The sequence below is a fragment of the Homo sapiens genome, chromosome 3 (assembly GCF_000001405.40).
Source record: "Homo sapiens chromosome 3, GRCh38.p14 Primary Assembly".
In the NCBI taxonomy this organism is placed as follows: domain Eukaryota; kingdom Metazoa; phylum Chordata; class Mammalia; order Primates; family Hominidae; genus Homo; species Homo sapiens.
In genome coordinates this window covers 194,124,936-194,152,444 of record NC_000003.12, presented here as the reverse complement: position 1 = coordinate 194,152,444, position 27,509 = coordinate 194,124,936, and the positions used below count along the sequence as shown (strand labels likewise).

General features: G+C 49.7%; 1 protein-coding gene and 1 pseudogene across 1 annotated transcript, besides 10 other annotated features; both read right to left on the bottom strand.

The window, feature by feature from the left end:
* Nucleotides 6,474-6,771, bottom strand: RN7SL215P (RNA, 7SL, cytoplasmic 215, pseudogene; annotated as a pseudogene).
* Nucleotides 10,561-10,980: a silencer, noted in NCBI's record as "silent region_15017". NCBI's record gives its function as "represses an Ori minimal core promoter by ATAC-STARR-seq in GM12878 lymphoblastoid cells {active_cell/tissue: GM12878}" and the evidence as "EXISTENCE:reporter gene assay evidence [ECO:0000049][PMID:35858748]".
* Nucleotides 10,561-11,767: a biological region, named in NCBI's record as "NANOG-H3K27ac-H3K4me1 hESC enhancer GRCh37_chr3:193858467-193859461".
* Nucleotides 10,773-11,767: an enhancer, noted in NCBI's record as "NANOG-H3K27ac-H3K4me1 hESC enhancer chr3:193858467-193859461 (GRCh37/hg19 assembly coordinates)". NCBI's record gives its function as "activates a minimal SCP1, AML or CMV promoter by ChIP-STARR-seq in primed H9 embryonic stem cells {active_cell/tissue: H9 hESC(primed)}" and the evidence as "EXISTENCE:reporter gene assay evidence [ECO:0000049][PMID:30033119]".
* Nucleotides 11,071-11,140: a silencer, noted in NCBI's record as "silent region_15016". NCBI's record gives its function as "represses an Ori minimal core promoter by ATAC-STARR-seq in GM12878 lymphoblastoid cells {active_cell/tissue: GM12878}" and the evidence as "EXISTENCE:reporter gene assay evidence [ECO:0000049][PMID:35858748]".
* On the bottom strand, nt 13,713-16,297 carry HES1 (hes family bHLH transcription factor 1). Its single transcript, NM_005524.4, has 4 exons — nt 15,957-16,297; nt 15,733-15,828; nt 15,397-15,484; nt 13,713-14,762 (listed from the first exon to the last, which is right to left on the bottom strand). The coding sequence occupies exons 1-4, from the start codon at nt 16,062-16,064 to the stop codon at nt 14,212-14,214; spliced, it is 843 nt and encodes a 280-aa protein (NP_005515.1). The 5' UTR covers nt 16,065-16,297; the 3' UTR covers nt 13,713-14,211.
* Nucleotides 14,184-14,373: an enhancer, noted in NCBI's record as "active region_21016". NCBI's record gives its function as "activates an Ori minimal core promoter by ATAC-STARR-seq in GM12878 lymphoblastoid cells {active_cell/tissue: GM12878}" and the evidence as "EXISTENCE:reporter gene assay evidence [ECO:0000049][PMID:35858748]".
* Nucleotides 14,404-14,603: a silencer, noted in NCBI's record as "silent region_15015". NCBI's record gives its function as "represses an Ori minimal core promoter by ATAC-STARR-seq in GM12878 lymphoblastoid cells {active_cell/tissue: GM12878}" and the evidence as "EXISTENCE:reporter gene assay evidence [ECO:0000049][PMID:35858748]".
* Nucleotides 15,140-16,339: an enhancer, noted in NCBI's record as "BRD4-independent group 4 enhancer chr3:193853895-193855094 (GRCh37/hg19 assembly coordinates)". NCBI's record gives its function as "activates an origin of replication core promoter dependent on BRD2, P300/CBP, MED14 and CDK7 cofactors, and independent of BRD4, by STARR-seq in HCT116 cells {active_cell/tissue: HCT116}" and the evidence as "EXISTENCE:reporter gene assay evidence [ECO:0000049][PMID:35650434]".
* Nucleotides 16,171-16,330: an enhancer, noted in NCBI's record as "active region_21015". NCBI's record gives its function as "activates an Ori minimal core promoter by ATAC-STARR-seq in GM12878 lymphoblastoid cells {active_cell/tissue: GM12878}" and the evidence as "EXISTENCE:reporter gene assay evidence [ECO:0000049][PMID:35858748]".
* Nucleotides 17,330-17,869: a silencer, noted in NCBI's record as "silent region_15014". NCBI's record gives its function as "represses an Ori minimal core promoter by ATAC-STARR-seq in GM12878 lymphoblastoid cells {active_cell/tissue: GM12878}" and the evidence as "EXISTENCE:reporter gene assay evidence [ECO:0000049][PMID:35858748]".
* Nucleotides 17,940-18,219: a silencer, noted in NCBI's record as "silent region_15013". NCBI's record gives its function as "represses an Ori minimal core promoter by ATAC-STARR-seq in GM12878 lymphoblastoid cells {active_cell/tissue: GM12878}" and the evidence as "EXISTENCE:reporter gene assay evidence [ECO:0000049][PMID:35858748]".

Genomic DNA, 27,509 nt, shown 5'->3' with positions numbered 1-27,509 from the left:
AAAGAAGAAAGAAAAAGAAAGAAAGAAAGAAAAGAAAGAAAGAAAGAAAAGAAAGAAAGAAAAGAAAGAAAGAAGAAAGAGAGAGAGAGAAAGAAAGAAAAGAAAGAAAGAAGAAAAGAAAGAAAGAAAGAAAGAAAAAGAAAGAAAGAAAGAAAGAAAGAAAGAAAGAAAGAAAGAAAGAAAGAAAGAATCCCAGATGAGAAGTCTGGAGTCCAGGGTTCTAGTTCTGGCTTGCCCCTTGCTAGTTCTGGGTGGGGTCTGGGGATGACTGCTTTCAGCACTTTTTTCCTCCTATGTGGCTTAGATAATGTGTTCCCTGCTAGACTGTGATGTCCTTGAAGGCCTTTCGAATTTTGTTTATTTCTGTATCCCCTGTGGTTCCCTGCCCACCATGTGCACAAGGCAAGAACTCAGAGGATGTCTATGGAATGAACACGTGGATGCAAAGCCAACCAGGGCCATAACCATTTCTTCATGTGGCAAACAAAGAGATTAAGTTCGCTGTCTCTGAATTCGCTTTCACTTCAAATATTTAAAGTGCTTTGCGGATTGCAGAGAGGTGTTTTTTTTTTTTTTTTTTTGGACAGAGTCTTGCTCTGTCACCCAGGCTGGAGTGCAGTGGCACGATCTCCGCTCACTGCAAGCTCTGCCTCCCAGATTCACACCATTCTCCTGCCTCAGCCTCCCGAGTAACTGGGACTACAGGCTCCTGCCACAACGCCTGGCTGATTTTTTGTATTTTTTTTAGCAGAGACTGGGTTTCACCATGTTAGCCAGGATGGTCTCGATCTCCTGACCTCGTGATCCGCCCGCCTCGGCCTCCCAAAGTGCTGGGATTATGGGTGTGAGCCACCGTGCCCGGCCTGCAGACTGTAGACAGGTTTTTAGTAGTTGTGTGATCATAAAAACAGCAGCAAATGACCTTGCTCCAAGTTGTGGTCCTGAGCACTAGCCATTTATGAACATTGCCCAGGCTGGCCGGAGGTGACATTTTCCACCATCATCAACTAGTTCTTCAAAATCAGGTTGGGCATTTTGTTAGACTCGCTGTGTTTTACTGGCTTTCCTGGCTTCAGGAGTTACCTCCTCAGTAAGCCTTTCCTTCTCTGTCCATTCTCAATTAGACCCCACCCCTGACCCCTTCCACCACAACATCCTATTTTGTTTCTTCACAGTATTTCCCATGAATTTACATTCCCTCCTTTTGTGTGTGTGTGTGTGTGTGTGTGTGTGTGTGTTTTGTTTTTTTTTTTTTTTTGAGACCGGGTCTCACTCTGTTGCCTAGGCTGGAGTGCAGTGGCGCAATCATAGCTCACTGCAGCCTCATTCCTGGGCTCAAGTGACCCTCCTACCTCAGCCTTCTGAGTGGCTGGGACTACAGGTGTGTGCTACTGTGACCAGCTAATTTTTTTTTTTTTAAGAGATAGTGTCTCACTCTGTTGCCCAGGCTGATCTTGAACTCCTAGCCTTAAGCAATCCTCCTGCCTCAGCCTCCCAAAGTGCTGGGATTATAGGCATGAACCACTGCACCTGGCCCATCCTCTCCTTTATTTATTTGTTTTCTTCCCAATGGTGGAATGTGAACTTCTTGAGAGCCAGCGCTTTGCCTGTCTTGTTTGTTGTTGAAACTCTGGCACCTGGAATGGTGCCTGGAACAGAGCAGAAGCTGCATTAATCCCCTGCATGAATGACTAGTCAGCCCCACTGGGAAGTGTTTTGTGGGCCAGTGGCCCACAGCAGCACAGGGCACACTTCTCGTCAGGCACCGCATCCTGGCTGCAGGTGACCTGAAGAAGGTGTAAACCCCTCAGGTAATATGTATTTTGCTGTATCGCAAAACTGGAATGCAAAACACCAGGAGTCACAGATAGGCAGAAAAAGCCAAAAAAATTTTATCTGGAAAGTCAGCAACTGCTTTGTGGGTGGAGAACACTTTGCTTACAGAGATTGTATTGATCTTGTGACAAACAGCCACACTGTGTTTTGGCTTTCCTGGTGTGCCTTCAGTCCCAGCCGGTGATTTGGACTTCGCTTGTTACACCCTTATATGCTTTTAGTTACGGGTTTCTCTGGGTCACATTATGACTCATTCACCTATAACAGACAAGTCTTTTTCAAACCAGGCTCACAATACGATCTTCAAAATTGGATACTTTTCTTCCTCCTGAAAGTTTAGGATTTATTTTCCCATTCTCTGCACAGAATTTTTGATTCTGAAAAATACCTGGCAATTCATTTTTGCTGAGGAGTATTAATCTTTATGTTTAAAAAGAATTTGATTGGCAGGGCGTGGTGGCTCACGCTTGTAATCCTAGCACTGTGGGAGGCCCAGGCAGGCAGACCACCTGAGGTCGGGAGTTGGAGACCAGCCTGACCAACACGGCGAAACCCTGTCTCTACTAAAAATACAAAATTAGCCAGGCATGGTGGTGCATGCCTGTTATCCCAGCTACTCAGGAGGCTGAGGCAGGAGAATCGCTGGAACCCGGGAGGTGGAGGTTGCAGGTGGCCGAGATTGCACCATTGCACTCCGGCCTGGGTGACAAGAGCAAAACTCCGTCTCAAAAAAAAAAAAGAAAAGAAAAAAAAATTTGATTACATTAATTCTGTACCATTTGAGAGACAGGAGAATGTTACCTGCAGCCCCCACTCCTTAAGAGACTTTAGTTATACATGTTTTACACCAGCAAAGCAGGGAAGAGTACAGATTTCCAGCAAATTGGTTCTGGTTACATGTGTAGCAAAAATGCATGAATCACAGAGATCAAAACTAGGTTTATTTCCTCTGGCAGGTGGCAGGAAAGGGATGCTCGTGCAGCCATAGAGACTAGCTTAAGTATGGCGCTCATGGCCAGAAGATGCGCGTTCCAGAGACTCCACCTCTGTCACCTCCTAGCTGTCACCTTGGCCAGTTCACCTGCACTTTGCGAGCCTAAATATCCACATTTGATATAAGGATAACAACACCAGCCGTACTTACCTGTCTGGATTGCTTTCAGGATCAAACGAAATGGTGTTTGTGGAAGCATTTTGTGAACCTCCAAGTATCAACCGTTCTTACTACACTGGTAGTATACAGCTTCCTGAATGATTTCTGTATGCCAGCCACTGTGCCAGGTGCCGGGGGTACAGAAAAATACATCATTTTTGCCTCTAAAACATGCATAGCCTAAGCTGCGGAGACAGATAAACCAACACTACAGTCCAATGTCAGCAGCGCTGTGTTAAATGTCCCAGGGAGGCCGGGCACGGTGGCTCACGCCTGTAATCCCAGCACTTTGGGAGGCCGAGGACGGCAGATCACCTAAGGCCAGGAATTTGAGAATTTGAGACCAGGCTGGCCAGCATGTTGAAATCCTGTCTCTACTCAAAATAATAATAATAATAATAATAATAATAATAATAATAATAATACAAAAATTAGCCAGGCATGGTGGTGCATGTCTGTAATCTCAGCTATTCAGGAGGCTGAGGCAGGAGAGTCTGGGTGACAGAGCAAGACTCCATCTCAAAAAACAAACAAACAAACAAACATGTCCCAGGGAGAGGGCGGGAGGGGTGGGGAAGGGTCAGAGCAGGGGACTGGGCAGGGTGGGCTTCCCAAAGCAGACCCAGCCAAGTCTCGAAGGACTTGTGAAGTAGGAGGTGTCTGGGTAGAGATGCGGGGGAGGGAAACTTCCAGCATAGGCACAAAGACTGCAAAGCGACAGAAACCAGAGAGCGTGGCAGGCTTGGGCACTGAGGCAGCTTTGTGCATGGGTAGAAGGAGGTGGGGGATGAGGCCTGCTTGCAGGGAATGAGGCAGCTGAGTAGGCCGGGAGCAAAGCATGCCAGTTTCTGCAGTCGTGAAGGCAGCAGGAAGCCCTGGGTCATCTTCTAACAGAGACAGGGTTGTTTGGACTGGATCATGGCCAGCGGATTGCAGGGAGGCAGGACCAGAGTTGAGGAGATCAGTCTCGGGAAGATGAAAGTAAAAAGCTTGAAATTTCTGTACCAAGGCAATGAAATGGGGTTGAGATTCATAAGACAGATGCAGGGATGAGATACAGGGTGAGTGTGAACAAGACGCACTGAGCCTAGGAAAATAAGGGTAGGGGCATTCTGTAGGGATGACAGCCGGGCTCATGGAATCGAGTTTGAGACATGCTGACTTCCATGTATGTGGAGATGTCCTGTGCGCAGCTGAGTCCATGGCTTGAGAGCTCAGGAAAGAATTACGGGTTGAAAATGCCAGATTGGGTAGTCTCCTCTGGGCATGTAGATGCTCATCACTACTATGGGTGGCCGAGTGACAAGAGAACAAAGTTACTGGTAGAAGGTAAAAGGAGACAATCCCATAGGGGTACTGAGAAATTACCAGAAAGGTTGGAAGAACTCAGAAGAAAGAGATGCTTCAGGGGGTTAGGAAGGAGGGAATTTCAAGGATGGAGTTTGAACATGGTCAACACTTTACAAATGTTGTAATGCTGACAGAGGAAAGGACAGAAAAATGACCATTTGGTTTGTTCCCTGAGTCGTCCAGGCTAGAGCCTGTCGGCAGAGTGCAGGGCCCCGAGCGAGGCTGGCTGCAAGCGTGGGGAGGAGAGGGTCGTCAGGCAGTGTGGGCCATGAGCAAAATCCAGGCATTCTCTGTGAGATGGGAAGAGAGAGGCCGCAGGGTGGTTCTTAAGGATTGTAAAGAAATAAATGTGCTCATATGCTGAGGGGGAAAAGTCAAAAAAGTAAGGGAGGTTGGAGATTTAGGCATAGCACATGCTTTGTGGGCCACATCCTTGATGAAGAGAACGAGGATAGCATCTGGAGCACAGACCCTGAGAAAGGAGGAAGGGTTGGAGCCGGGGGGAGGCAAGCTTAAGCGGAGAAGTCAGGAGAGGACCAGGAATCGAAAGAGTGAGAGTGCTGGATGGCACCAAGGACAGATTTTATCTCAGGAAGCAGGAGCAATGGCTTGGCAAGGGTATAGGGAAGCAGAGAATGCCCAGCAGAAGCACACTCGCTACCCCATGGTACACATGCTCCCTGGCCACCCGCACTCAGCGTCATCATCCACCCGCCAGGCTCAAAAGAAAAGCAAACCGGGAAATGAGGGGTTCACAGAGGGGCTGCATGTAGAGGGGTGTTTATTTAAAATGGAACAAGTATCCAGAGAGAGCAGGGACATGCTGATGGGCTCCCCTCAGAGGAGAGCAAGTACTGAGCTGAGACCTGGACCCTGCCTAGAGGTTGTATGCCAAGCATGGAAACTGGGCTTTATAAAAATTAAGTTGAATTCAGCCCGTCTTCTGGCTAGAAACTGATGGCTATATATTAAGACAATTGATTGCTTGAAATCAAACTTCTAATTTTAGGAGTTTACACTTCTAAACCAGTACAGATGTGTAAATGTGATGACAGCTTCGGTCTTTGATACAGGAACCGTGCGAATAGTTGAGGCAAGAACAACATTTGACGTTATCCTTTTTGAACTGCTCCTGGCCTTAAACTGTCCCAAAATGTCTCTTCTTTGGATGGAATCTCCTTGTTCTGCACTCAAAATGAAACCTGAAAGAGACTACGAAACACACTCAAGCAACTCCAGAGCTCTTGAGACAATTACGTGATTGTGCTCTGCCTTCAACCTGGGCCTCCCCGGCTGCAAAACAAGGAAACAAAACCAAAAATCACACAAAAAAGTCTTTATTTTCATCATTTTTTTTGAAGGCTTCTTCTCACCTGAACGGTATGAATGGCCAATTCCACAGTTACTTAATAAAGTCATAATCATAATTATTAATAATGTAAGGCCGGGCACGGTGCCTCACATCTATAATCCCAGCAGTTTGGGAGGCTGAGGCGGGCAGATCACCTGAGGTTGAAAGTTCAAGACCAGCCTGACCAACATGGCAGAACTCCATCTCTACTAAAAATACAAAATTAGCCGGGCAGGGTGGCGCATGCCTGTAATCCCAGCTACTCAGGAGGCTGAGGCAGGAGAATTGCTTGAACCCAGGAGGTGGAGGTTACAGTGAGCTGAGATCGCGCCATTGCACGCCAGCCTGGGTAACAAGAGCGAAACTCCATCTCAAGATAATAATAATAATAATGTAGAGTCTTAGGATAAATATCTATCTGATCCTTCAAGATTCTATTTGTATGAATATAATCAAACGGTCTTAATTATGAAACAGAACATGGGAAAGAATAACTTGTGCCTCGAAAGCGTTTGTTCTTTACAAATCTGGGGTGTCAGAAGCCTCATTCAAGTTTTCTATCCCATCCCCACCCCAGATGTGTATTGGGGATTCACTAAAATGAAAAAGTGCACTTTTACACTTACCTGTGAGAATGGGGAAAGAATTAAGTGAAAAACTTACACCAGATGTTTCCTTGTATTATCCCAGGAAACAATTCTGGTGGCTGTTAATGCATCTTAAATGTCACTTATGGCAGTTGCTCTGAAACAGATTTGACACACTGCAGTTTTTTTTTTTTTAAGAGAAAGGGTCTTGCTATGTTGCCCAGGCTAGAGTGCAGTGGCTGTTCACAGGTGCCATCCCACCACTAATCAGCACAGGAGTTTTGACCTGTTCTGCTTCCAATCTGGGCCAGTTTGCCCCTCCTTAGGCAACTTGGTGGTCCCGTGCTCCCAGAAAGTCACTATATTGATGTTGAACTTAGTGTGAACATGTATTGGGCATAGCATCTCATAGCCCAGAACTCCTGGGCTCAAGTCATGCTCCCCCTCGGTCTCTTCAGTGGCTGGGACAAGTGTGTGCCACCTCACCTGGTGACACATTGCATTTGCTCTCTCCTGGTCCTGTTAAGCAATCATATTCTTGTTTTAAATTTTGATGTTTTAGGGACAAATTTTATTTTCATTTATTTATTTATTGAGATGGAGTCTCGCTGTTGCCCAGGCTGGAGTGCAGTGGCGTGATCTCACTGCAACTTCTGCCTCCCGGGTTCAAGCGATTCTCTTGCCTCGGCCTCCCGAGTAGCTGGGCTTACAAGTGCACACCACCATGCCCGGCTAATTTTTTGTATTTTTAGTACAGACGGGGTTTCACCATATTGGCCAAGCTGATCTCCACCTGCTGACCTCGAGTGATCCGCCCACCTCGGCTTCCCAAAGCCCTGGGATTCCAGGTGTGAGCCACTGCGCCTGACCAGAGACAAATTTTATAACCATAAAGCTAGGAGGAAAAGATGATGGTGCAGAAAACATGAAGTATGGGGTAGTGTTTGTCAATTGCAATAGTTTTTCTTTAGGCTGGAGTTTTTTGTAAACTAATTATACATTTCATGTCTCACATTGATGACAAAACTCATAAAGTTAGTTGAACATGAAAACTATCACATTTGTGAAAAACAAAATAAGAAACAAATAGTGTTCCTTAAATAACATGGCTATCATTAAGTTATACTTGGACTTCTAAGAAAAAAATGTATTGATCTCTGCTTGACTAAAGACAAATTAGGATTGGGAACATATCTGAACATAGAAAGAATAGCTGCAGTAAAGGCTTCTTATTAATTTAGATTGCAATTATTTACTTGGGCTGCACTCTGGCCCCTCTGATTATTTTAAGGAAGATTTATAGTACAAATAATATTGCCAGAGCCACATTTAACCTGCTTAATAAGAGAACACATTCTTTAAATGACTTTAATGCATTAGTTTTATGAAAGCTATGAATTCAGACTCACTACAAGTATTTGCAAAGTTACTACTTTTCCTAACAGATATTTAAAACTCAGATTTTCCACTAATTCAGATTGACATTCTTCTTTAGCCAGACTAGTCCAGTTAGCCTATTTAATTCAGTAAATGTACTAGTGGAAAAACTCTAGCTAGTTGGGGAAATATATATATTTTTTTTCTTTATTTTTTCCCCCATAGAGATGTCGGTCTCACTATGTTGCCCAGACTGGTCTTGAACCCCTGGTGCAAGCAATCTTCTGTCTTTGCCTCTGAAAGTGCTGGGATTACAGGTGTGAGCCACTGCACCTGGCCCAGTTGGGGAAGTATATTTCTTAAATAGAGAGAGTCCCGAGAACCAACAGATCACATTCTCTTTTCAGAAAAGAAGTGAGCAAGTGAAAAGGATTGGGGGAAATTTTTTTAGGATGAAGAGAGAAAGTGGTATTTTTAACTCTTGCTGCTCGATATCATAGCAAAGGATAAGGTCTTGGTAGCACATATGTGAGCAAATCCTGGCAGATGCAGTCTGCCTTCGATGTACTTTGCAGTAGCTATGATTCTCACTAACATGGCAGCTCTCCAGGAAACTGATACGTAGGCTATTTTCTGGTGAACTACGATGCCTGTCCTTCAGGTCTCAGTCCCCATATCTTTAACTGCAGATGAAAATACTTGTCTGTCGCCGGGCGCGGTGGCTCACGCCTGTAATCCCAGCACTTTGGGAGGCCAATGTGGGTGGATCATGAGGTCAGGAGATTGAGACCATCCTGGCTAACACGGTGAAACCCTGTCATTACTAAAAATACAAAAAAAAAAAAAAATTAGCCGGGTGCCTGTAGTCCCAGCTCCTCAGGAGGCTGAGGCAGGAGAATGGTGTGAACCCGGAAGGCAGAGCTTGCAGTGAGCCAAGATAGTGCCACTGCACTCCAGCCTGGGCGACAGAGTGAGACTCCGTCTCAAAAAAAAACAAAAAAACAAAAAACTTGTCTGTAACAATCCTGCCAGGGCCTTGGCTGTAAGGTCTGAAATACGCCTGATATACATTGCTAGAGCCACAGAGCATGTGTCAAACTGTAAAGGCACACAGAAGCACACTGAGGACAGGGAATCACAGACTGGAGTTGAAAGCACTTCAGAGGCTTCCTGGCCTAACGTTCTCATTGTGCTGGCACAGAGATCGAAGCCCAGAGACGTAAGGGGACTTGGCCAGCATCTCACAGGTAGCAGTCCAACTGGATCAGGCCTCAGATTTCCTGACTCGCAGTCCAGTTTCTTGACCACATCTAGGTAATTATGCTCATGCAGAAGATGTTAGTATTGTAAAATAATTACCCTTGAAATTAACCATTTGAGAATCACCTTTCTTAGGTGGAATTTGACTAATTATTTACTATGCCAGTAATTTCTATGAATGATCACAAGGATTAATCATATTTGGAGAACCAAAAAAGTTACCTGTTGTGACGTGCAATCTTTTTTTGTACCATCACTGTGCATGACTCTTTCCTTATGGCACTTAACACAGCAATTTGTTGTTGTTCTTGGTTTTTTTTTTTTTTTTTTTTTTTTTTTGAGATGGAGTCTCGCTCTGTCACCCAGGCTGGAGTGCAGTGGCACAATCTTGGCTCACTGCAAGCTCCGCCTCCCAGGTTCACGCCATTCTCCTGCCTTAGCCTCCCCAGCAGCTGGGACTGCAGGCGCATGCCGCCAAGCCCGGCTAATTTTTGTATTTTTAGTAGAAACGGGGTTTCACCATGTTAGCCAAGATGGTCTCGATCTCCTGACCTTGTGATCCACCCGCCTTGGCCTCCCAAAGTGCTGGGATTACAGGCGTGAGCCACCGCGCCCAGCAGTGCTGTTCTTGTGTGGAAGCTGTCTTGTCTACCAGATAGCTTTATAGTTACAGAGACCATGCCTTTCTTCTCCCTTTATTCCCATAGTGCCTGGTTCAATAATTATCAAATGAATGCATGAAATTCAGAAACTAAGGAAGAAGCAGTGGTCCTTTCACCTAGGGCCTGGTGCAATTACAAGCAGATCCTGCCATCGCTGGGCAAAGGCCGGGACTGGCTTTCTTGTCTGGTGAACGTCCCTCACTGTGGTTAAGAATCCGAAGAGCTGACAGCACTATTCTAAATGCTTTAAGTGCATGTACTCATTTCATCTTCTCAACCCTGTGAAGCACTACCCTGACGAGCCCTAAGTTACAAATGAGATACAGAGTTACAAAATTGAGGCAGGGAGTTCAGTAATTTCCCTCGGGCTCAAAACCTAAGCCAAGCCGCCAGGAGCCAGACCACGTGCTTCTAACCCCTGGGCTGTATTGCATTTAAGCCAACCACTGCGGCAGGGCTTATCCCTCTTTTTCTTTTTTTGACCTCTAAGCCAATTTGTATATTTGAAAACTTAGATACCACACCATGGTAAACATACTGACATCTCCCCAGACTGGACGTATATATGTTCATCTCCGCGTTTTCCCTCACCCTTCTGCTTCTAACCCTTCCTGTTGAACTCATCTTTCACCTCTCGGCTTCAAGTGCCAACTCTGAAAAACCTCCCCGGCCTGGTTTCCTCTCATCAGAATTAATCTCTCTGTTCTAGGTGCCCTTTGTTTAAACTTCAGTTTTGGCACTTAGCACATCAAACCTGGGATGAGTCACGAGGGTGTTTGTGGATCTCCCCGGCTACACAGGGAGCTCGGTGCGGCGGAGGCTGGTGGGAATTGGGCCTGCTGAGCACTCAGTAGGCGCTCAGGGTTTTCAGAAATGAGGATTTTTTTTTTAGGCGTCCAGGGTTGCTGTCTGGTGGCAAGGTCTTTTTTGGGACGGCTCTGTGGGCTGGGATGGCCTCACCCCGCCGCTCTGCCCACTCCTGCCCCGGCGTGGCCTGCCGCCTGGCAGGGCTCTGCGGGCCGCGAGGGCCTCTAGTGCCCCGGCCCTGGCCTCGGCCCAGTTTCCCCAGCTACTAAATGCGGCCCGGAGCTACCGGGGGAACTGGAAAAACACTGGCAGGCGGCCCCACCCCCAGGCCCGGCGGGGCCGCGCGGCCGCCTTCCTGCGGCCTAGGCCTGCTGCTTGGGAGGCGCTGGGGCCCGGGGCGGGGGAAGCGGGGGCGGCGGCCTGCCTGTCAGCGGGAGCGGGCGCGGGCTCGTGTGTCAGCGCCGCCCGCCCGCCCGCCCGCCGGGCCTCCCGGCCTCCCGCCGCCGCCGCCGCCGCCGCCCGCTCCCCCCGCGGCCTGGCAGGCTGCCGGCTGCACAGGCGGGGGTTCGCGCCGTTCTCACGACCTCTCAGGTTGCCTGAGCTCATCTGGGAGCTATTCATTTCCTGCCAGAAAGCAGCCGGGCCTGCTAAGCGAACCACCTTGGCCGCAGGGCCGCCAGGGCTGGCCCGGCGTGGCCGCCCTGGCCGGCTCCCGCCCGGGCGGAGGGCCCCGGGCGGCCTCCCTGGAACCCCCGGGCCGCCCCGGCGGGCGCGCGGCGGGGGCAGCCCGTCCGCCCATCTGGTTGCACTTAGGAGCCGGGGAGGAAGCTAGGAGCGGGTTGTTACCGGCCAACGGGTGTGGGAAAAGTTAATTGACTTTAATGACAGGTTTCCCGGGACGGTGGTGACGACGAGGGGGTCCAACGAAACCCCAGGGTCCCCATTCCAGAAACGCGTGGGGTGGGACGGGGCGCGAGGAGGGGCGAGCCTCCGGAGTCGCGCTTCTGCGCTTGGAGAGGGCTCTCGTGTTGACCGAAGAGCACCCCCACCCCCTTCCAGTTCGGCGCCTTTCCCGCTCCGGATGCTGCTGGAGACGGCGGGGGGCCGGGGCCCCGGAAGGGCTCCATTGAGAGGCTAATGCGCGCGGCAGCCGGGGCCCGCGGCCCGCATCCGGACGCAGTTTGGAGTCGTGCCTTATCTCCCCGAGCGATCAGCACTGCTGGGGGCCGGCGAGAGGGGCTGCTGGTGTGCCCGAGGCCGTATAATTAGGCCAGGCCTGAGGGACCCCCAGGGAGGCAACATCATTGAAGTCGTTTTTGAAGTTTCGCCTCTCCCTCAGCTACTTACTCCAGAAACAGCCAAAGTGCAGGAGGGTACAGCGTCTTAGAAATAAGTCCATTCATTTTCCAGACTTGGAAATGACCCAGAGAAGGGAAATGACTTATCCAAGGTGACACAGTGAATTTGGTGGCATAGCTGGGCAGGAACTGGAAAGTGCCCTTTCCGGTTTGGAGCCTAGTGGGGTCTCCACCTTCTCCCCTTACTGTAACAAAGAAAAAATCCTCGTGGAATAGTCTAAACCTAGCTTTCAGGGGGAAAAAAAGTGCTCTTTTCAAATCACCAATTAAAAAAAAGAAAAAAACGTATTTGTGTTTTTCCTTTGATTTAGTCCCCTCCCTAGGAAGATATCTATGTACTTTCGGTGATATTAATACAAATGCACTTTTAAAATTGTTCCCCTTCAACATAGGGACATTGAATTTTCAACTGGTGTTGAGATTTTTTTTTCCTGTGAATTTTAAAGACATCGATGTAAAAGGAATTCCTTGTGTAAAAATAAGACATTGAGGTCTGATTTTTTCTACCAGGACTGTTAAGGGGCTCCTAGTGGACCCAGAGGACAGGCTTACCAAATGAAACACTGGTGCTTGAGTTGGGTGTCTTAATGGACGATTGTTATTTTGTTTGTGTTTCAACAGGAGGGAAAACGTGGAAAAATGATAAGGGTGTGTGTGTGTTTCTTTGGCGGAAGGTGTGTTGGACACCTTTCATGTACACAAAGTAAGGCAGGTAGGAGACAAATTCAAAAAGGTCTCTTTTAAATCTCTCCCTCTGGGGTGGAAGCTGGGTCCGAAGGTATCTTGAGTGGAAAACTGCTGTCTCCCCGATCATTCCTATGATAGAGCCGCTCTCCACACTGGCCTGTGGGAAAGGCCAGAGCAGGGCGGGGGAGAGGTAAAGCTTTTGAAACAAGACAGAAAATCGTTGGCTTTATCTTTGTTAGGAAAGCTTCAAAGATTGATCTCTCCCGCCTCATCCTTCTCCTCCCAGAAGCCGGTCTAAGAAAAGGGGGGTTAGAGGAGGCTGGCGGGAGGGGCCGGGGGGGAGGAGGACTGGCCGGCGGTGGGGGAGGAGGGCGCGCCCGCCAGACCCACAGCGCGGCTGATGTGTCTGGTCTCGCAGGGCTCGTGGTTTTCATTTCCCCAACACCTGGATGCAGTCAAACACCTGGCCAAATCTGACAAAATCTGACAAGCCTTTGTGATGGGATTTGGAAGAAATTCCCTGCAGATCCTGGCACAGTTTAAAGCTGTCCGCTTTGAGTTAGGACTTGTTAAGGAGGGTTATGTGAGCTGAAACCCGAGACAACCCTTTTGCTTCTATCTGGAGCCCACATCTTGCCTGGAAATGGGGCATGACCAAGCGAAGGGGTCGCTTGCTGTTTGTATTAAAAGGGGAAGATGGCCTGTGTGCCTGCCAGCACAGCCCCCACATGCTTTCTCTATTAGAGCCAAGCACAGAAACTTATCAAAAACACATGTCTGGTGTTAATCATCTGGGCTCGGCCTCCACTTGGGAGTCTAACTAACTGTCCCTTGGCAGAAGGAATCTGTTGACCTTTTCAGCTTGCTTTAAGAGGGTGCGGAGAGGAAACTTTTGGGTGCTAGGGAACGTCTTATTTGAACCAAAGGATTGGCTAATTAATGAAGACCCCAAGTCTTGAAGGAGGCGCAGCAGTTGGAAGTGTTTTTGCTTTGGATGCTGGTGAGCTACCCTGAGAGGAGAGCTGCAGGAACCACCCTTAACGTGCAATGGGCAATAGGATTGGATCCATTAGCTTCGTGAATTTAGTCCTGTTCAATCTTCCTCAGGAGGAGCTAGAAGAACAAGGGCTGCAGACTTACCCGACTGCAACTTAAAAACATTTTTTTTGGAAATCCTTTAAGAGACTGACCACAAGTTTATCAGGGAAGCCTTACCAGATGGCTGCTTGTAAAGTAAATGGAATTTAGTCTTTTTAGTTCATGGAGGATTGGTGAAAAGTTTGATGGATTTTTACAAATGTTCTTTTAATAACAAAAGAGTCAATTCCTGAATTACCAATTACATGTAATTCAAATTCCACCAAAAGCCTTTTTACATATTCTGGAAGAATCAGTTCGAAGACATAAAAGCCTTTACTTTTTTCTTTTATTATATTTTCTCAAATAAACTTCCCCAAAGGAAGATATTTTAAGAGCATTTTCAAACATCTTTGGCATCACATAAAAAAGAAATCTCGTGTAAAAAACGAAATGTCATCTGAGCTTTTATAATACAAAGGCGCAATCCAATATGAACATATAAAATATATACAAATATAGTGCATGGTCAGTCACTTAATACAGCTCTCTCTACAAAAAGTAACTTCTTAGAAATTAAAAAAACACAAAGTAACCACTTAATCAAAAAAGTCCTCTTCTCTCCCAGTATTCAAGTTCCTGTTTAGAGTCCGGAGGGAAGAGAGGTGGGTTGGGGAGTTTAGGAGGAGGGGTGGCCTGAGCCCCCTCAGTTCCGCCACGGCCTCCACATGGAGTCCGCCGTAAGCGAGGGGCCGCTGGAAGGTGACACTGCGTTGGGGCCCACGGAGGTGCCGCTGTTGCTGGTGTAGACGGGGATGACAGGGCCGCTGTGCGCGAAGGCCCCGTTGGGAATGAGGAAAGCAAACTGGCCATCGGGAGCCGGTACCACCTGGAAGCCTCCAAACACCTTAGCCGCCTCTCCAGCCTGGCTGCCCAGCTTGCAGGGGGCGCCGCCGGGAGGGGGCGCCGCGCCCCCGGGGATGGGCACGAGTGGCGGCGGCGGCGCGAACGGCGCGTGCTGGGGGCCGCCGGGTCCCGGTGGGGGCGGTGGCGGCGCCTGCAAGGCGGGGTGCGGCTGCCCGGGGTAGGTCATGGCATTGATCTGGGTCATGCAGTTGGCCAGGTGGCCGAGCAGCCGAGTGCGCACCTCGGTATTAACGCCCTCGCACGTGGACAGGAAGCGGGTCACCTCGTTCATGCACTCGCTGAAGCCGGCTCGGTACTTCCCCAGCACACTTGGGTCTGTGCTCAGCGCAGCTGCGGGCCAGAAAGAGACAGACGGGTCACCGAACGGCCCTGGCCCCGTGGCCACTGCCTCCGCCCTGGGAGGTCCCTGTGGCGCGCCTCCCTGACCATGCGCCCGTGAAACTGCCTCCGGCAGGGAGGGTGAGATGGGTTTAGAAAAAACCAGCCACCTCTCCACACTAGCGTTGCTGCCAAAAGCCGAGCCACTCCTTCCCGATTCCCTGTAGCTGCATTTAAACCTATCTCAGCCCCAGATCTGTCACCCCCACCCCCGCGCGCGATGTGACCTTGGACAATGCCTCCCAATCCATCATCCAAGCCTCATTTCCCCTTCTGCAACGGGAAGGAGTGCTAAACCAGTGACCCCCAGGCTCCACGCAGTTCCAAACCGCCACAGTCCTAAGTCCTTTCGCCCCTACCCGGCGCCCGCCACCCTCGCGGCTGCAACCTCTTTCCCTCCCTTTCCGGAACAGTAACAACTTGGAGTTGTGGCTATAAATAAGCCCCAGACCGTGGGAACGCAAGAGTGAGCCAAGGCAGTAAAATGTAGCTGAATGCCTCTCACAACCACGGGCGGAAGTCTGGAAGAAATCACCGCGAGGCGAGCGGGACGCCCGCACAGGGGGACGCGGCGAGCCGCCCTCACCCGTCATCTGCGCCCGCTGCAGGTTCCGGAGGTGCTTCACTGTCATTTCCAGAATGTCCGCCTTCTCCAGCTTGGAATGCCGCGAGCTCTGCATAGAGTAGGCAAGAAAGGAAAGTGAGCCCCGTGTCAGCTGCTTCAGAGTGCTGGGGGTCCCTCCTCCCGGCCACGGAGCGCAAGCATTATCTCTGGACCCCAGCGAATAAGGCCGGGCCCTCCCGCCTGGGAGAACGCAGTACCAGCGAGTGCCAGACCCCGCAGGGCGGGGGGTTTCACTCTTAGTAGCTGAGAAAGTGTTTGTTTTTTAATTAAAAGAGCGAGCAGCATTTCCCCACTTACATCTTTCTTCAGAGCATCCAAAATCAGTGTTTTCAGCTGGCTCAGACTTTCATTTATTCTTGCTCTTCGTCTTTTCTCCATAATAGGCTTTGATGACTGCAAATAAAAAAAAGAGTTCTGTGTTCCCATGGAATCTGCCATCCCGGGGTTTCAAGACAGAAAGAAGCCCCCCAACCCCTACTTAATTTTGAGGGGCTGCAAAGAGATACAGGTACCGCCCTTACCTTTCTGTGCTCAGATGCTGTCTTTGGTTTATCCGGTGTCGTGTTGACACTGGCTGGGGTAGCAGCCACCGGGGACGAGGAATTTTTCTCCATTATATCAGCTGGCATTTTCCTTTTTTTTTTTTTTTTATCTCTAGAGAATTTTATTTTTGGAGTTCTTCACGAAAAAGAATTTTTTGTTTGTGTCTCTTTTACTTGAGACTTTCACAAAACTACTGAGCAAGTGCTGAGGGTTTATTATATTTTGTGGCTACTTGGTGATCAGTAGCGCTGTTCCAGGACCAAGGAGAGAGGTAGACGGGGGATTCCGCTGTTATCAGCACCAGCTCCGGATCCTGTGTGATCCCTAGGCCCTGGCGGCCTCTATATATATCTGGGACTGCACGCGAACGGCTCGTGTGAAACTTCCCAAACTTTCTTTCCCACAGTAACTTTCAGCCAATGGGAGGAGGAGACACGCGGCACCGCTCGTGGACCGCGCCCCCCCATTGGCCGCCAGGCACAAGGTCTGGCGGCCAATGGCGCGCGCCTGAGCCCAGGGCACCGGAGGCTACAACGTCAATCAAAAGGATTTTAACCCTTTGCTACTCTCCCTCTGGGCTTTGGTTTAGAGATTTTTTTTTTCTTTCCGCTTTGGTCTTGATCTTGTCTATTTCTTTTGGAGCCAGGGTCTTTGCTCTTTATGCCCTCTCTCATATGTAACAGAGCTGCTTTGACTGTAGTAAGTTCATTTGAAACATATTTTTTTTAAAGGTATAAACAATAAAGAAAAAAACAGCAGTGGTTAAAAGGGGGCGGGGGGAGGGGGGGACGGGTGTAAGAATGTGAGTTACCGACACATCTAAAGTTCCCGCTCAGACTTTACATTCAGGAGGGTGAAAGTAGATGGTAAAGGAAAAGGGCCAAAAAAATTTTCCTGTTTCCATGCAGAAAAAGGAAAAATTGCCTTCTACCTCACAAATGCAGGTTTTTCGGAGCAAGGTAGTTCTTGAATCCCACCCCCACCCCGTCTTTCAGAAATTCCTCGTTTGGATTTGGGGCCTTAGACCCCGGGCTTCCCCAGGAAACAATCAGAATAATTTCCAACTGGGTGGAAGGAAACGGTATTTCAAATGAAAAAATGAACAAGGGGGGCTCCGAGGGCAATGACTCAGGGACTCGCGCCCTCCTTCACCACCCTTTCCCTTTTCATCCGTAGGCTTTAGGTTCTGCGGCGCGTTGAGGTGGCGGGCAAGGAAGCAGCCTCTCCCTCCTCGCCCCGCGGGCGGCCTCGGCCCCCGGCGCCCGCGGGCCCTTTAAGAGCTACACCAGCCGAGCTGCAGTTTGACATCAGCCGGCCGGCGTGGGCGCGCCTGGAGCCGGAGCACGTGCCAGGATGTTTTATTGCCGCCGCGGCTGCGGCCGGGCCGGGAGGATGTGTGTGTGCGTGCGTGTGTGAGTGAGTGTGTGTGCGCGCGCCCCGGGGGCAGGGAGGCGGGGGGCGGCGACGGGCGGCGGAGAGCGGGGGCCGGTTCCTGGTCCCCGGGAGAAGCCAAGAAGGTAAATAGCAGCTGCTGTGCTCGAGCCTGGGAAAACCCCGCCCCCTGCGCCTGGCCCGGGCTCATTGGCGCGCGCTGCGTGTGGGGGGTGTGTGTGTGTGTGTGTCCGGGGCCCCCTCCTCCGGCCCCGCCGGGCCAGGAATCCGAGGGGGCGGCGGGCTGGGAGCCGAGCCCCGGCGCTTACCCTCTCTCCCCACCCCCGCCTCCCCAGGCCAAGGTCAGCTCTTCCCGGCGGGGAGCGCACACCCGGGGTGGAGAGTGGGGAATTCTTCCAACCCCCGCCTCCCCACCCTCACTTTCGGGCTTGGGGTTTTCACTCGGCCGAAAGCCGCATTCGCAACAGCCCGGGGGCGAGGTGGGGGCCTCCAAGTTTGCTCCTCGCCCCCGCCCTCTCCCCGCGGGGCCCTGGGCGCCCGCCGCGGTCACGGGATGCCTGACCGCACTTAGGAAGCGGCCGGGTCAGCCTCCTGCCTCCGCTCGGCGACTGCGGTTAAAGCGGCTTCGCGCCGCCCGCCCCTTCCCCGGGTCCCGGGCGGCCGGGCCGCTCCCCCTCACTACGCCCGGGAGGCCGCCGGCGGGCGCCCGGGAGGAGGCGGGCGGCGCGGGCGGCTGCGTGCTGCCTGCTGGCCGGGCCGCGCGCCGGGAGGAGTCGCCGCCGCCGCCGCCGGGTGCCACGTGGCGGGCGCCGGGCCGGGAGCGCCAGGGCTCTGGCGGCGGCCTCCCTGGGGGATTTGCCGAGCCGGGCGGGCGGCGCGCACTGCCTGGGCCGGCCGGCCGCCTCCTCCGCCTCCCTCCCGCCTGCCCGGGTCGCCGGCCCCCGTGCCCCCACCCCCCCTCCGCCCTTCCCGCCGCCTGGGAGCTCGGCTCGCGGCTCCGGGCAGCCCGGGAGCCCAGCGTCTTGTTTGATGTGGCCTCCCGCCCCCTCAGCCCTTCCCGCGTCCCGGAGGCCTGGCGCACGGTTCTCAGACACTTCATTCCTTCCGGCCTCCCAGCTCCCCACTGAGATAACGTTGTCAATGATTTCGCCAGATCTCGTCCCGGATGAGATTCAGTGGTTCCTGACTCTGGGTGACCTTGGGCAAGCCCCCCTCTCTCTTTCATTGTGGAACACACGCGCAGTGTCAGACACTGTGTTAAACCCTGGGATTTCCACGGTGAGAGATACAGTGGCGGCCTGCTAGAAGTTGACAGTAAACTGCGGGGGCAGACAGACGCTGATTTTCTGATTGATGACTGGACATTCCTTTATTTTTCCTTTCTTTTCTGAGTTAGGTGGTGGCTTGAGAGATCAGGAGGACAGAAACAAAATATGAAACCATACTTGTATGGATAACAGTATTGCTGGTCTACCTGGGTTTACAGCAGTGAGTAAGACCGTTATTGCTCTCTGGAAGCTAACAGTCTAGAGATACATATAAACGTGTACAGCTGACATCTACGGATGGCCCAGTAAATTCCTCTGGGAAGTCGTAGGTTCAAGAGAGACGTATGTCTGGATAGAGGTAAAATGCTATGGAGTTTCAGGAGAATTAAGTTACTTTTAAGTTGGGGTACCTTGGAAAACTTCCTGGAGGGATTGGCCTGTGTACCTTGAAAAATAGGTAGGATTGGGGCATTGGGAATGTGCTTAGTCGTGGGCTGGAGAGGATGCAGGTACCCATGGTATTAAAGGCCAAGATCCTGGAACTTGAAGACTTTATTCAGGGAACATGGTCTGGAGCCTAGGGAATGTGAGGGACTGGAAGAGGCAGCTTGAGGCCATGTCACAAGCTCCTTAAACATCTTGCTGAAGGACTTTGGACCTTATCTTTAGACAGTGGAGAGCCATGAAACATTCTTGAGCAAAGAAGAGGCATCAGGGTTTCCCTTTAGAAAGATGGCTCTGGCAAAAGTGGGAGAGTGGATTGCAGGGCTTGGAGGCAGAAAGGGCAGTTAGGCAGTTCAAGCCAGTGAAGAAGGTTCCTAGGAGGCAGGTGCAGACTGACTCCCAGAGGCATCTGTCTACATCCAGCTCCTCTGGACATTGACCGCACGCTCTTGGGAACTGAGTTCAACTCAAACCTGCCTACCCTTTAATGCAGTGTTCCCAACCCCCAACCAGGAACTCAGGAACTCAGATTTAATTCCTGAGTCTAACTAAGGAATCATGGCTCTGACCGTATTAACCTAAGCCTCATTTCCACCTTCCAGGATAGTCCTCCAGTCTGCAACCAAACATTTCCCTCATCGAAGGCTTTGGTTTACTCACTGTTGCCCCTAAGGCTACTCTGAGATTTTTTTTAAAAAATGTTTTCTTACACTGCAGAGTGAGCTGTGCCCTGTCATGTTCTGAAGAAATGATGAACAATGCCTCCTTTGTTGACCTGCAACCTGGGCCAAAGGGGAAGGAATTTTCTTTCTTATTTTAAACAGATGGAAAAGTGGTGATGACAGAAAATTGTCTGTTGCTTTTGGAAAACGTAGGGTTTTCCTGTGTGGTGAAAATCCTCTTGGTGAAAGGTGATGAGCCTATGAAGTTACCCTCCTTTCTGCCATGGCCCCAATAAGCTTTGCAAGCTTCTTAAAATGCTTCTACTGAGCGTCTGACTTTTTAAAAACTTCCCAAATACACTGACCCAGATTCTTCTGAGGAACTAAACCCTTCCCGGGGAAGCATGTTAACCCTTTCCAGGTTCCCCCCAAATCTTTCAGAACCAGTGCCTGCTCTGCTAGGCTCTGCCAGGCTCTGCCATGACATTGACTGCTGTCTGCTGGTCGGCCCTCATTAACTACTGGGTTATGCCACTCCCTGCCCATTCTAAGAGACTTTTTCATCTGATTCTGTTCCCCACTCTTATTTGGTGCCCTGAAGGTGCATGGGGAATGGAATATGGTCAAGTTAGGGTCTCACTGAAGGGGCTAAAGCAGCCTCGTGGGTCAAATAGTTAATCAGCAACTCGTTTATTGCCACTTTGGGAGTGCTTGGACTGGTGGAATGGGCAAGTAACTTTCACACACACGTTTTTAGATAGGGGGACAGAGGCTCAAGTAACAAAAAAAATTATGAATTTGTGTCTGGACCAAAAATAAATAAATAATAAATAAAAATAAATTCCAGGAACTCTCTGGCTTTCCACTCTAACCATTCAAGAAGAGTTTCTTGCAGATGGGCTCACAGATGACTTTTCAGTTTCCTTATGCTAGGCAGTGAAAATAGGACCAACGTTGTCCTCTCCCCACCCCTTCTCAAATGGGACAGTAAGCTCCTAAACTCAGGAAGAAGCATCTGCATCTGGAAGAATGCTCTTAGATAGATAGAAACAGCCTTTATTTTTCAGTCATCCTTTTCCCCCGACTCCCAAAGCAAAGAGAAAATGGAGCCCAGTTCATCAGTGGAGGTCACTTCTTTGATCCCCCTGTGACACCAGCATCGTTCTGAATCGTTCTCACCGTGTCATGCCCAATACATACAACCAGGGGCTCCCGCACTTGTCTCCACCCACAGCGTCCCCCCACCCCCGCCCCGGAAGGGCGACTTCTCTGTCTTACCGCATCACCTGTTTGCTTTCAAACCATAAAACAAATAACTGCATCTCTAGTGAAACTCCCCTTTGTCCCCTAGGTATCAGAGTGGTTTGTGGGTTTGGTTTAAAGCTACAGAAAGGAGAGAGCAAGAGAAGAAGAAAAAAGGTATTTTGCCTGAGGACTTGAAGCTTTTTTTTTTCCCTTTTCCTCCGCATGACTGACTTTCTCACACTCAGATTCCCTCCAGCCTGCCAGAGACGTGGTAGCTGCCCTGCCAAGAGCTATCCTGGGAGGGCTATTGAACGAGCTTTGAGTAAGTACACACACGGTGGATTTTCTCCTCCCCTCGGTACCTGCTCTGCACCTGTACAGGGAGCAGTCCCACACATATCACCTGATCACAGCCCTTTCAGGGACCGTGAGAAAAATAAAGCCCAGGATAGAAAAGACATGTTTGTCATCTCTCCAGGGCTGCAGCCAGCTTCCAGCAGTCCCAGTGCCCAGAAACAGCACATTCCAGGCCGGCTGTGCATGCATGTTTGCTGGGGCGCGTGCCAGGTGGGGGTGCTGGGAAGGGGGGGGCAACTAGAGGTCACCTTTGTAATGACCACCTTGCTGCCCCCGTTCTCTGGCATGTGCTGACTGGTAGCTTGAGAACCCTCTACTAGAATCAGTATCATAGTCTTTCTAGATAGCAGTCTGTATGTGCTGATCGCAGAATTCATAACCAGGATTTTTTTTTTTTTACCTATAAAGCCCCTGAAATGGAATTTCAACGTGTGTCTGTATGTGCATATTTAACAGGAGCTTAATAAATATTTTCCAAATGCATAAATGGATGCATCACGTTTTCTTTCTCCTGAGAAGAGGGTCCACAGCTTTCAGCAGAATCGCAAAGCTCTTTGCAATCAAAAAAGGTTAAGGAAAGCTGATCTGGAGTCTCTGCTTACTAGTGGGTACTCTAAGCCCCAGGGAGGGAAGGGACTTGCTCAGCTGCCCACAGCAGCATAAGGCTGGGGGTGTGTGGGGGGTGTAGGGTGGGCAGAAGCCAGCTGGGAGCTGTTTTCACCACACCAACTGCTGTGGTCCTTGGGTAATTTTCGGTTGGGTTTATAGAGTTGTGATCACCAAAGCCTGCATTTAAAATAGACACAATAAAGCTACTTTGAATTGCTACAACTTTTGACTCCTGAATTCTGAGGCACTTGAGCAGCTCTGCATCCAATTTTTGGATGTAGAAAGGGATAGGTGAGAAAGCAAAGTGTCTGCGGGGAAAAGAGGAGTCGGGAGTGCTTGGAGCAAGAGCCCTGGTTGTCATGCAGAGGCATTAGAAACAACTGCAACTGCATTCCATCTTTGATAAAAATGAGTTGCTACTTCTGAACAAAATGCCTGGTTGATTCCTGGCCAAGCTAGGACCTTGCACTGCAAACTGGAGGTGGGGGTGGAAAACAGAAGCTTTCAACATTGGCTAACGGCAGCCTGTAATACTCCCCCCACCCCCCAACACTCGCTTGGAGCCAGTGAAACCAAGGGAATGTGCACTTTTCTAATGGCTCTGAAAGAGGATGGTTGCCAAGAAAGCCTTTCCCAGTAGGGTGGGGGCGGGGCATCCTGGAATGGCTTAAATCACACGTTTGGCCCAGCCACAGCAGCGGCGGTGGGCAGGCTCTAAATGTGCTCCCAGCTAACCTCCTAACCTCTGAGCAGAGCTTCAGTGAGGCGAGCCTGCAAGGCCAGGGATGAAGGAGGGTATCCCTGAGGGATCACAGGGATGCTAACTTGTACCCTTGTGCATGAAAGGGTCAGAGCCATGCTGGGGCTGGGGCATATGGGGGCAGGCCCAGGGACCTCAGGAAGCCTCTGGAATGTGGGGTGAAGCCCATCCCCTTTAAACTCAGGGCATGCATGTGTTTGCCTTGCTGATAAGCTGCCCAAATGGTAACGTCAGACCAAATTTCTCCAAAAATCAAAAACAGAAAAACTGAGCTATCCAGAAAAACCATTTGGTAAAACTTAGGACCTGAAAGTGATTTGGGATGAATCAACATATTTTCTTTTTTCTTTTTTTGAAACAGAGTCTCACTGTGTCATCCAGGCTGGAGTGCAATGGCATAATCTAGGCTCACTGCAGCCTCTGCTTCCCGGGTTCAAGCGATTATCTCATCTCTGCCTCCCAAGTAGCTGGGACTACAGGCATGCACCACCACACCTGGCTAATTTTTGTGATTTTAGTAGAAATGGGATTTCACCATGTTGGCCAGGCTGGTCTCAAACTCCTGACCTGAAGTGATCTGTCCACCTCGGCCTCCCAAAGCGCTGGAATTACAGGCATGAGTCACTGCACCCGGCCTAAGCCACCACACCCGGCCATACAACATATACATATATATATACTTTGATATGGAGTTTCACTCTTGTTGCCCAGGCTGGAGTGCAATGGTGCAGTCTCGGCTCACCGCAACCTCTGCTTCCTGGGTTCAAGCGATTCTCCTGCCTCAGCCTCCTGAGTAGGTGGGATTACAGGCATGCGCCACCATGCCCAGCTAATTTTGTATTTTTAGTAGAGACGGGGTTTCCCATGTTGGTCAGGCTGGTCTCGAACTCCCAACCTCAGGTGACCCACCCCCCTTGGCCTCCCAAAGTGCTGGAATTACAGGCATGAGCCACTGCACCCGGCCACAACATATTTTTCGTTACGATCATCATCATCAGCATTCTTGCATTATCTCACAGATTATAGAAAGATGGAAGCTGGAAGAGAAGGGAGAAGGTACCTAAGAGGTCACCGAGTCAGCCCACTCCTTTCATGGACAGGGAAACTGAACCCAGGAAGAAGCGACTTGCACAGGGTCAAGCAGCCTCCCAGCGGGGGAGTAGCAAAACCAGAACTGCCCGCCAGTCTAGAAACTCTCTTTACTGTATCTCTCTATAGGAGAAAAACATTTTTAAATATTGTCTACAGCAAGTGACCAACATTACCACCAAACATGAATTTTATAGCTAAGACACTGAGCCATCTGCTGGTGAGTGATTTTGGTAGTGTCACAGAGCACAGTCCCAGGTTTGCCGTGCTGTGATTCTCCTTTCTCAGATTTGCTCATCACGCTATATTCTCTGAAAAAGAAGGGATCTTAATTTCTCAGCTCCAGGACATAGGAAGTCTCTTTCAGGATCTGTCCAGGATAGGCAGGCTGCCTCTCAGTCCACCAAACCAAGCCAAACCACATGTCCTCTCTTCTTATAATTGCCAATGTGTTTCCCTGATTTGTGCTCTGAAAGGAAGATTGGAAGAGGGAATAGTTCTAGCTCCAGAACTGATGCTCCGGTGGTGCTACGCTTTTATCTCAGGACCAGAGAAGACATGATGGTAGGAATACAGAGAAGGGGCTGGAGCACTAAGACACTGTGCTGCTGGCCGGCTTCACGCTTAGGAGAGGGAGAAGTGAGAAAAATAATGGATCTTCCAAGTGGTTGAGAGATGATGTTTGCAAATGAAATATATATTTTACTTTTAGATGTCAGGCATAGAGAACAGGAGAAGATGGTCCAGGCAGCTGCCGCAGCTGCAGCTCAAGATGATATGACTGGGTATGGTTGCTCATGCCTGTAATCCCGGCACTTTGGGAGGCTGAGGCCGGTGGATCACTTAAGGCCAGGAGTTTGAGACCATCCTGGCCAACATGGTGAAACCCCATCTCTACCAAAAATACAAAAAATAGCTGGGCATGGTGACACGTGCCTGTAGTCCCAGCTACTCAGAGGCTGAGGCATGAGAATCACTTGAACCCAGGAGGCAGAGGTTGCAGTGAGCCGAGATATTGCACCACTGCACTCCAGCCTGGACAACATAGTGAGACTCTGTCTCAAAAAAAAAAAAAAAAGACTGATGGGCTCTAGCATGACTGGGCCCTTCTGGTCTCTTCTACAGAGTGGGAGGTTCCTAAGGTACCTGTCACCCACATGGTATTACTTGACAGTTGACGAGGCACTTTCGCGTCCACCATAGCATTTGGTCCTCATACACAGCCATTTGTTCTAGATTGTCTAGGCTGGAAGGGCTCTGATGGGCATCCCAGGAAGGGAGAGATTGGATTTATGTGGTCAATGCAGGAGACATTTGGCTGGGCTGTGGGCTGTTGGGGACTCCGGATATGGGATAGACAGGAATTCTGGAAAATAGTACCTCTAGAGAGAAAGGGTGGAGAAAGGAACTTACAGGCCAGGAGAGAACTGACTTTTCTTTCTTAAGGAGAGCCATGGACAAGAATCAGATTTCCAGAAATTGGAACAGAGAGGACAAAAGAGATGTCTGTCAATCTGGTAAAGAATGTCAGTAATCCGGAGGACAGGTGCATCTTTGCGGGAAGAGGAAATGAGGGAAGTTCCTTTTCTTGTGGAGGAAAATCAGAAGGGAGAGACATGAGGGAAAGGAGTCCCACTTAGCAAAAGGATGACTGAGCAGATTCCGGAAATGACACAGAGAAGTAGGATCCCAGGCGTCCCTGCACGGAGGGTCGAGCTGCCTAGTTCAGCATTTAGTGCAGAAAGGCTTTCTGGGAAGATCTCAGAAAAGAAGACCAGGTTTGAGAATGAGGGCCCGTGTGGAATTCTGGAAGCTGCATCGCTTTTTACTAGTTAGTTGTTCGTGCCATGCTGTTTGTATTGCCATAGGTGTAACATACAATCCCGTAGGCTACCATGGTGTGTATGTGCCACATTCTCTTTATCCAGTCTATCGTTGATGGGCCGTGGGTTGGTTCCAAGTCTTTGCTGTTGTGAATAGTGCTGCAATAAACCTACGTGTGCTGAGATCATGTCCTTTGCATGGACATGGATGAAGCTGGAAACCATCATTCTCTGCAAACTAACACAGAAACAGAAAACCGAACACTGAATGTTCTCACTCATAAATGAGAGTTGAACAATGAGAACACATGGATGCAGGGAGGGGAACCACACACACTGGGGCCTGTCAGGGGGTGGGGGGCAAGGGGAGGGAGAGCAATAGGACAAATACCTACTACATGCAAGGCTCAAAACCTAGATAATGGGTTGATAGGTGCAGCAAACCACCATGGCACGTGTCTACCTGTGTAACGAACCTGCATGTTCTGCACATGTATCCCGGAAATTAAAGTAAAAAAAATTTTTTTATATATATGTATGTATGTATATATACACATACATTATATATGTATATATACACACACATTATATATGTATATATACACACACACACTTTTTATATGTGTGTATATATACACATTTTATATATATACACACATATATATACACATTATGTGTGTGTGTGTGTGTGTGTGTGTGTATATATGTATATGTAATCCCATAGGCTGGAAAAGTTGTGGGTTGTTTGGAGATGATGACCAGGACTGCGGACTTAGGGGGACCATACCCTGCTACTCAGTCTAGGGGTGATGGTCCAGGGCAGGAGGTCGGGGGACAGTGGCTCAGAACAAAGGGTGAGGCAGTACACTGAATCCTCAGAGCTTCAGAGAAAGGACCGAGCATGAATCTCCATAGTTCCTTAACTACTGTGGGCAACTGTCTACATGACAGAGCTCATTTTTGGATTCCCTCAGCCTCACTCGGTGTATTGACATTATGTTTAGTAGGGAAAAGGAGTCTGTCCTTTTGCGGACTTGGACTTCCACAGACCAGCTTTGGTTGAAATCTGAGAGGACTCAGGGAGAGCGGGTTCTCTTGCAGCGTGCTGGTGTGTGCCAGGCTCACCTTACCTGATGGGAGGTCTCCTAATAAAGTCCCAGCATGTTGCTGGCTCCTGGAGGAGGTTGCCACGCTGTGCATATATCATACATGTATCCAGCTGTGACCTTTATTTCAATAGGCTCTCACAGTCATGGAAGCACCCCAGTACTCAAGTTCAAGTATTTGATCTCCTTGTTATGGGTGGCTATTCATCTCCTTCCCTGCCCTCAAAGCCCTGGCACCTGGGGCAGACCTAGACTCGGCATCTAGCACCACCTGTCACCTGGATGGAGGGGTAGAATCCCAGCTCATTTTCTTTGTATTGAGTGAACCTGCACTGATGACAGACAGTATAGTCAGTGGCTAAGACCATCCAATTTCTAATTGTCTGTTTAACTTAATTCCACTCGATAAATATTCTTGAGCACCTACTACATGCAAGGCAAAATTACCTACCTATTTTGACAATTACTTCCATCCCTGCCTGCTATTCAAATGCTATTAATCTGTGCAGAGTGTGACACCCCAGGCTTATATTATAAAAATTTCCCAGCTGGGTGCGGTGGCTCACGCCTGTAATCCCAGCACTTTGGGAGGCCTAGGTGGGTGGATCACTTGCGCCCAGGATTTCAAGGCCAGCCCAGGCAACATGGCAAAATCCCATCTCTCCACAAAAAAAATACGAAAATTAGCTGGGCATGATGGTATGTGCCTGTAGTCCCAGCTACTTGAGAAGCTGAGGTGGGAGGATCACTTGAACCTGGGAGGTGAAGGCTGCAGT

Coding starts and splice junctions, on each gene's coding strand:
- HES1 (NM_005524.4), bottom strand. CDS start 16,064: ATGCCAGCTGATATAATGGAGAAAAATTCCTCGTCCCCGGTGGCTGCT. Junction 15,485..15,732: donor TGGATGCTCTGAAGAAAGAT/GTAAGTGGGGAA, acceptor TACTCTATGCAG/AGCTCGCGGCATTCCAAGCT. Junction 14,763..15,396: donor GCAGCGGGCGCAGATGACGG/GTGAGGGCGGCT, acceptor TCTGGCCCGCAG/CTGCGCTGAGCACAGACCCA.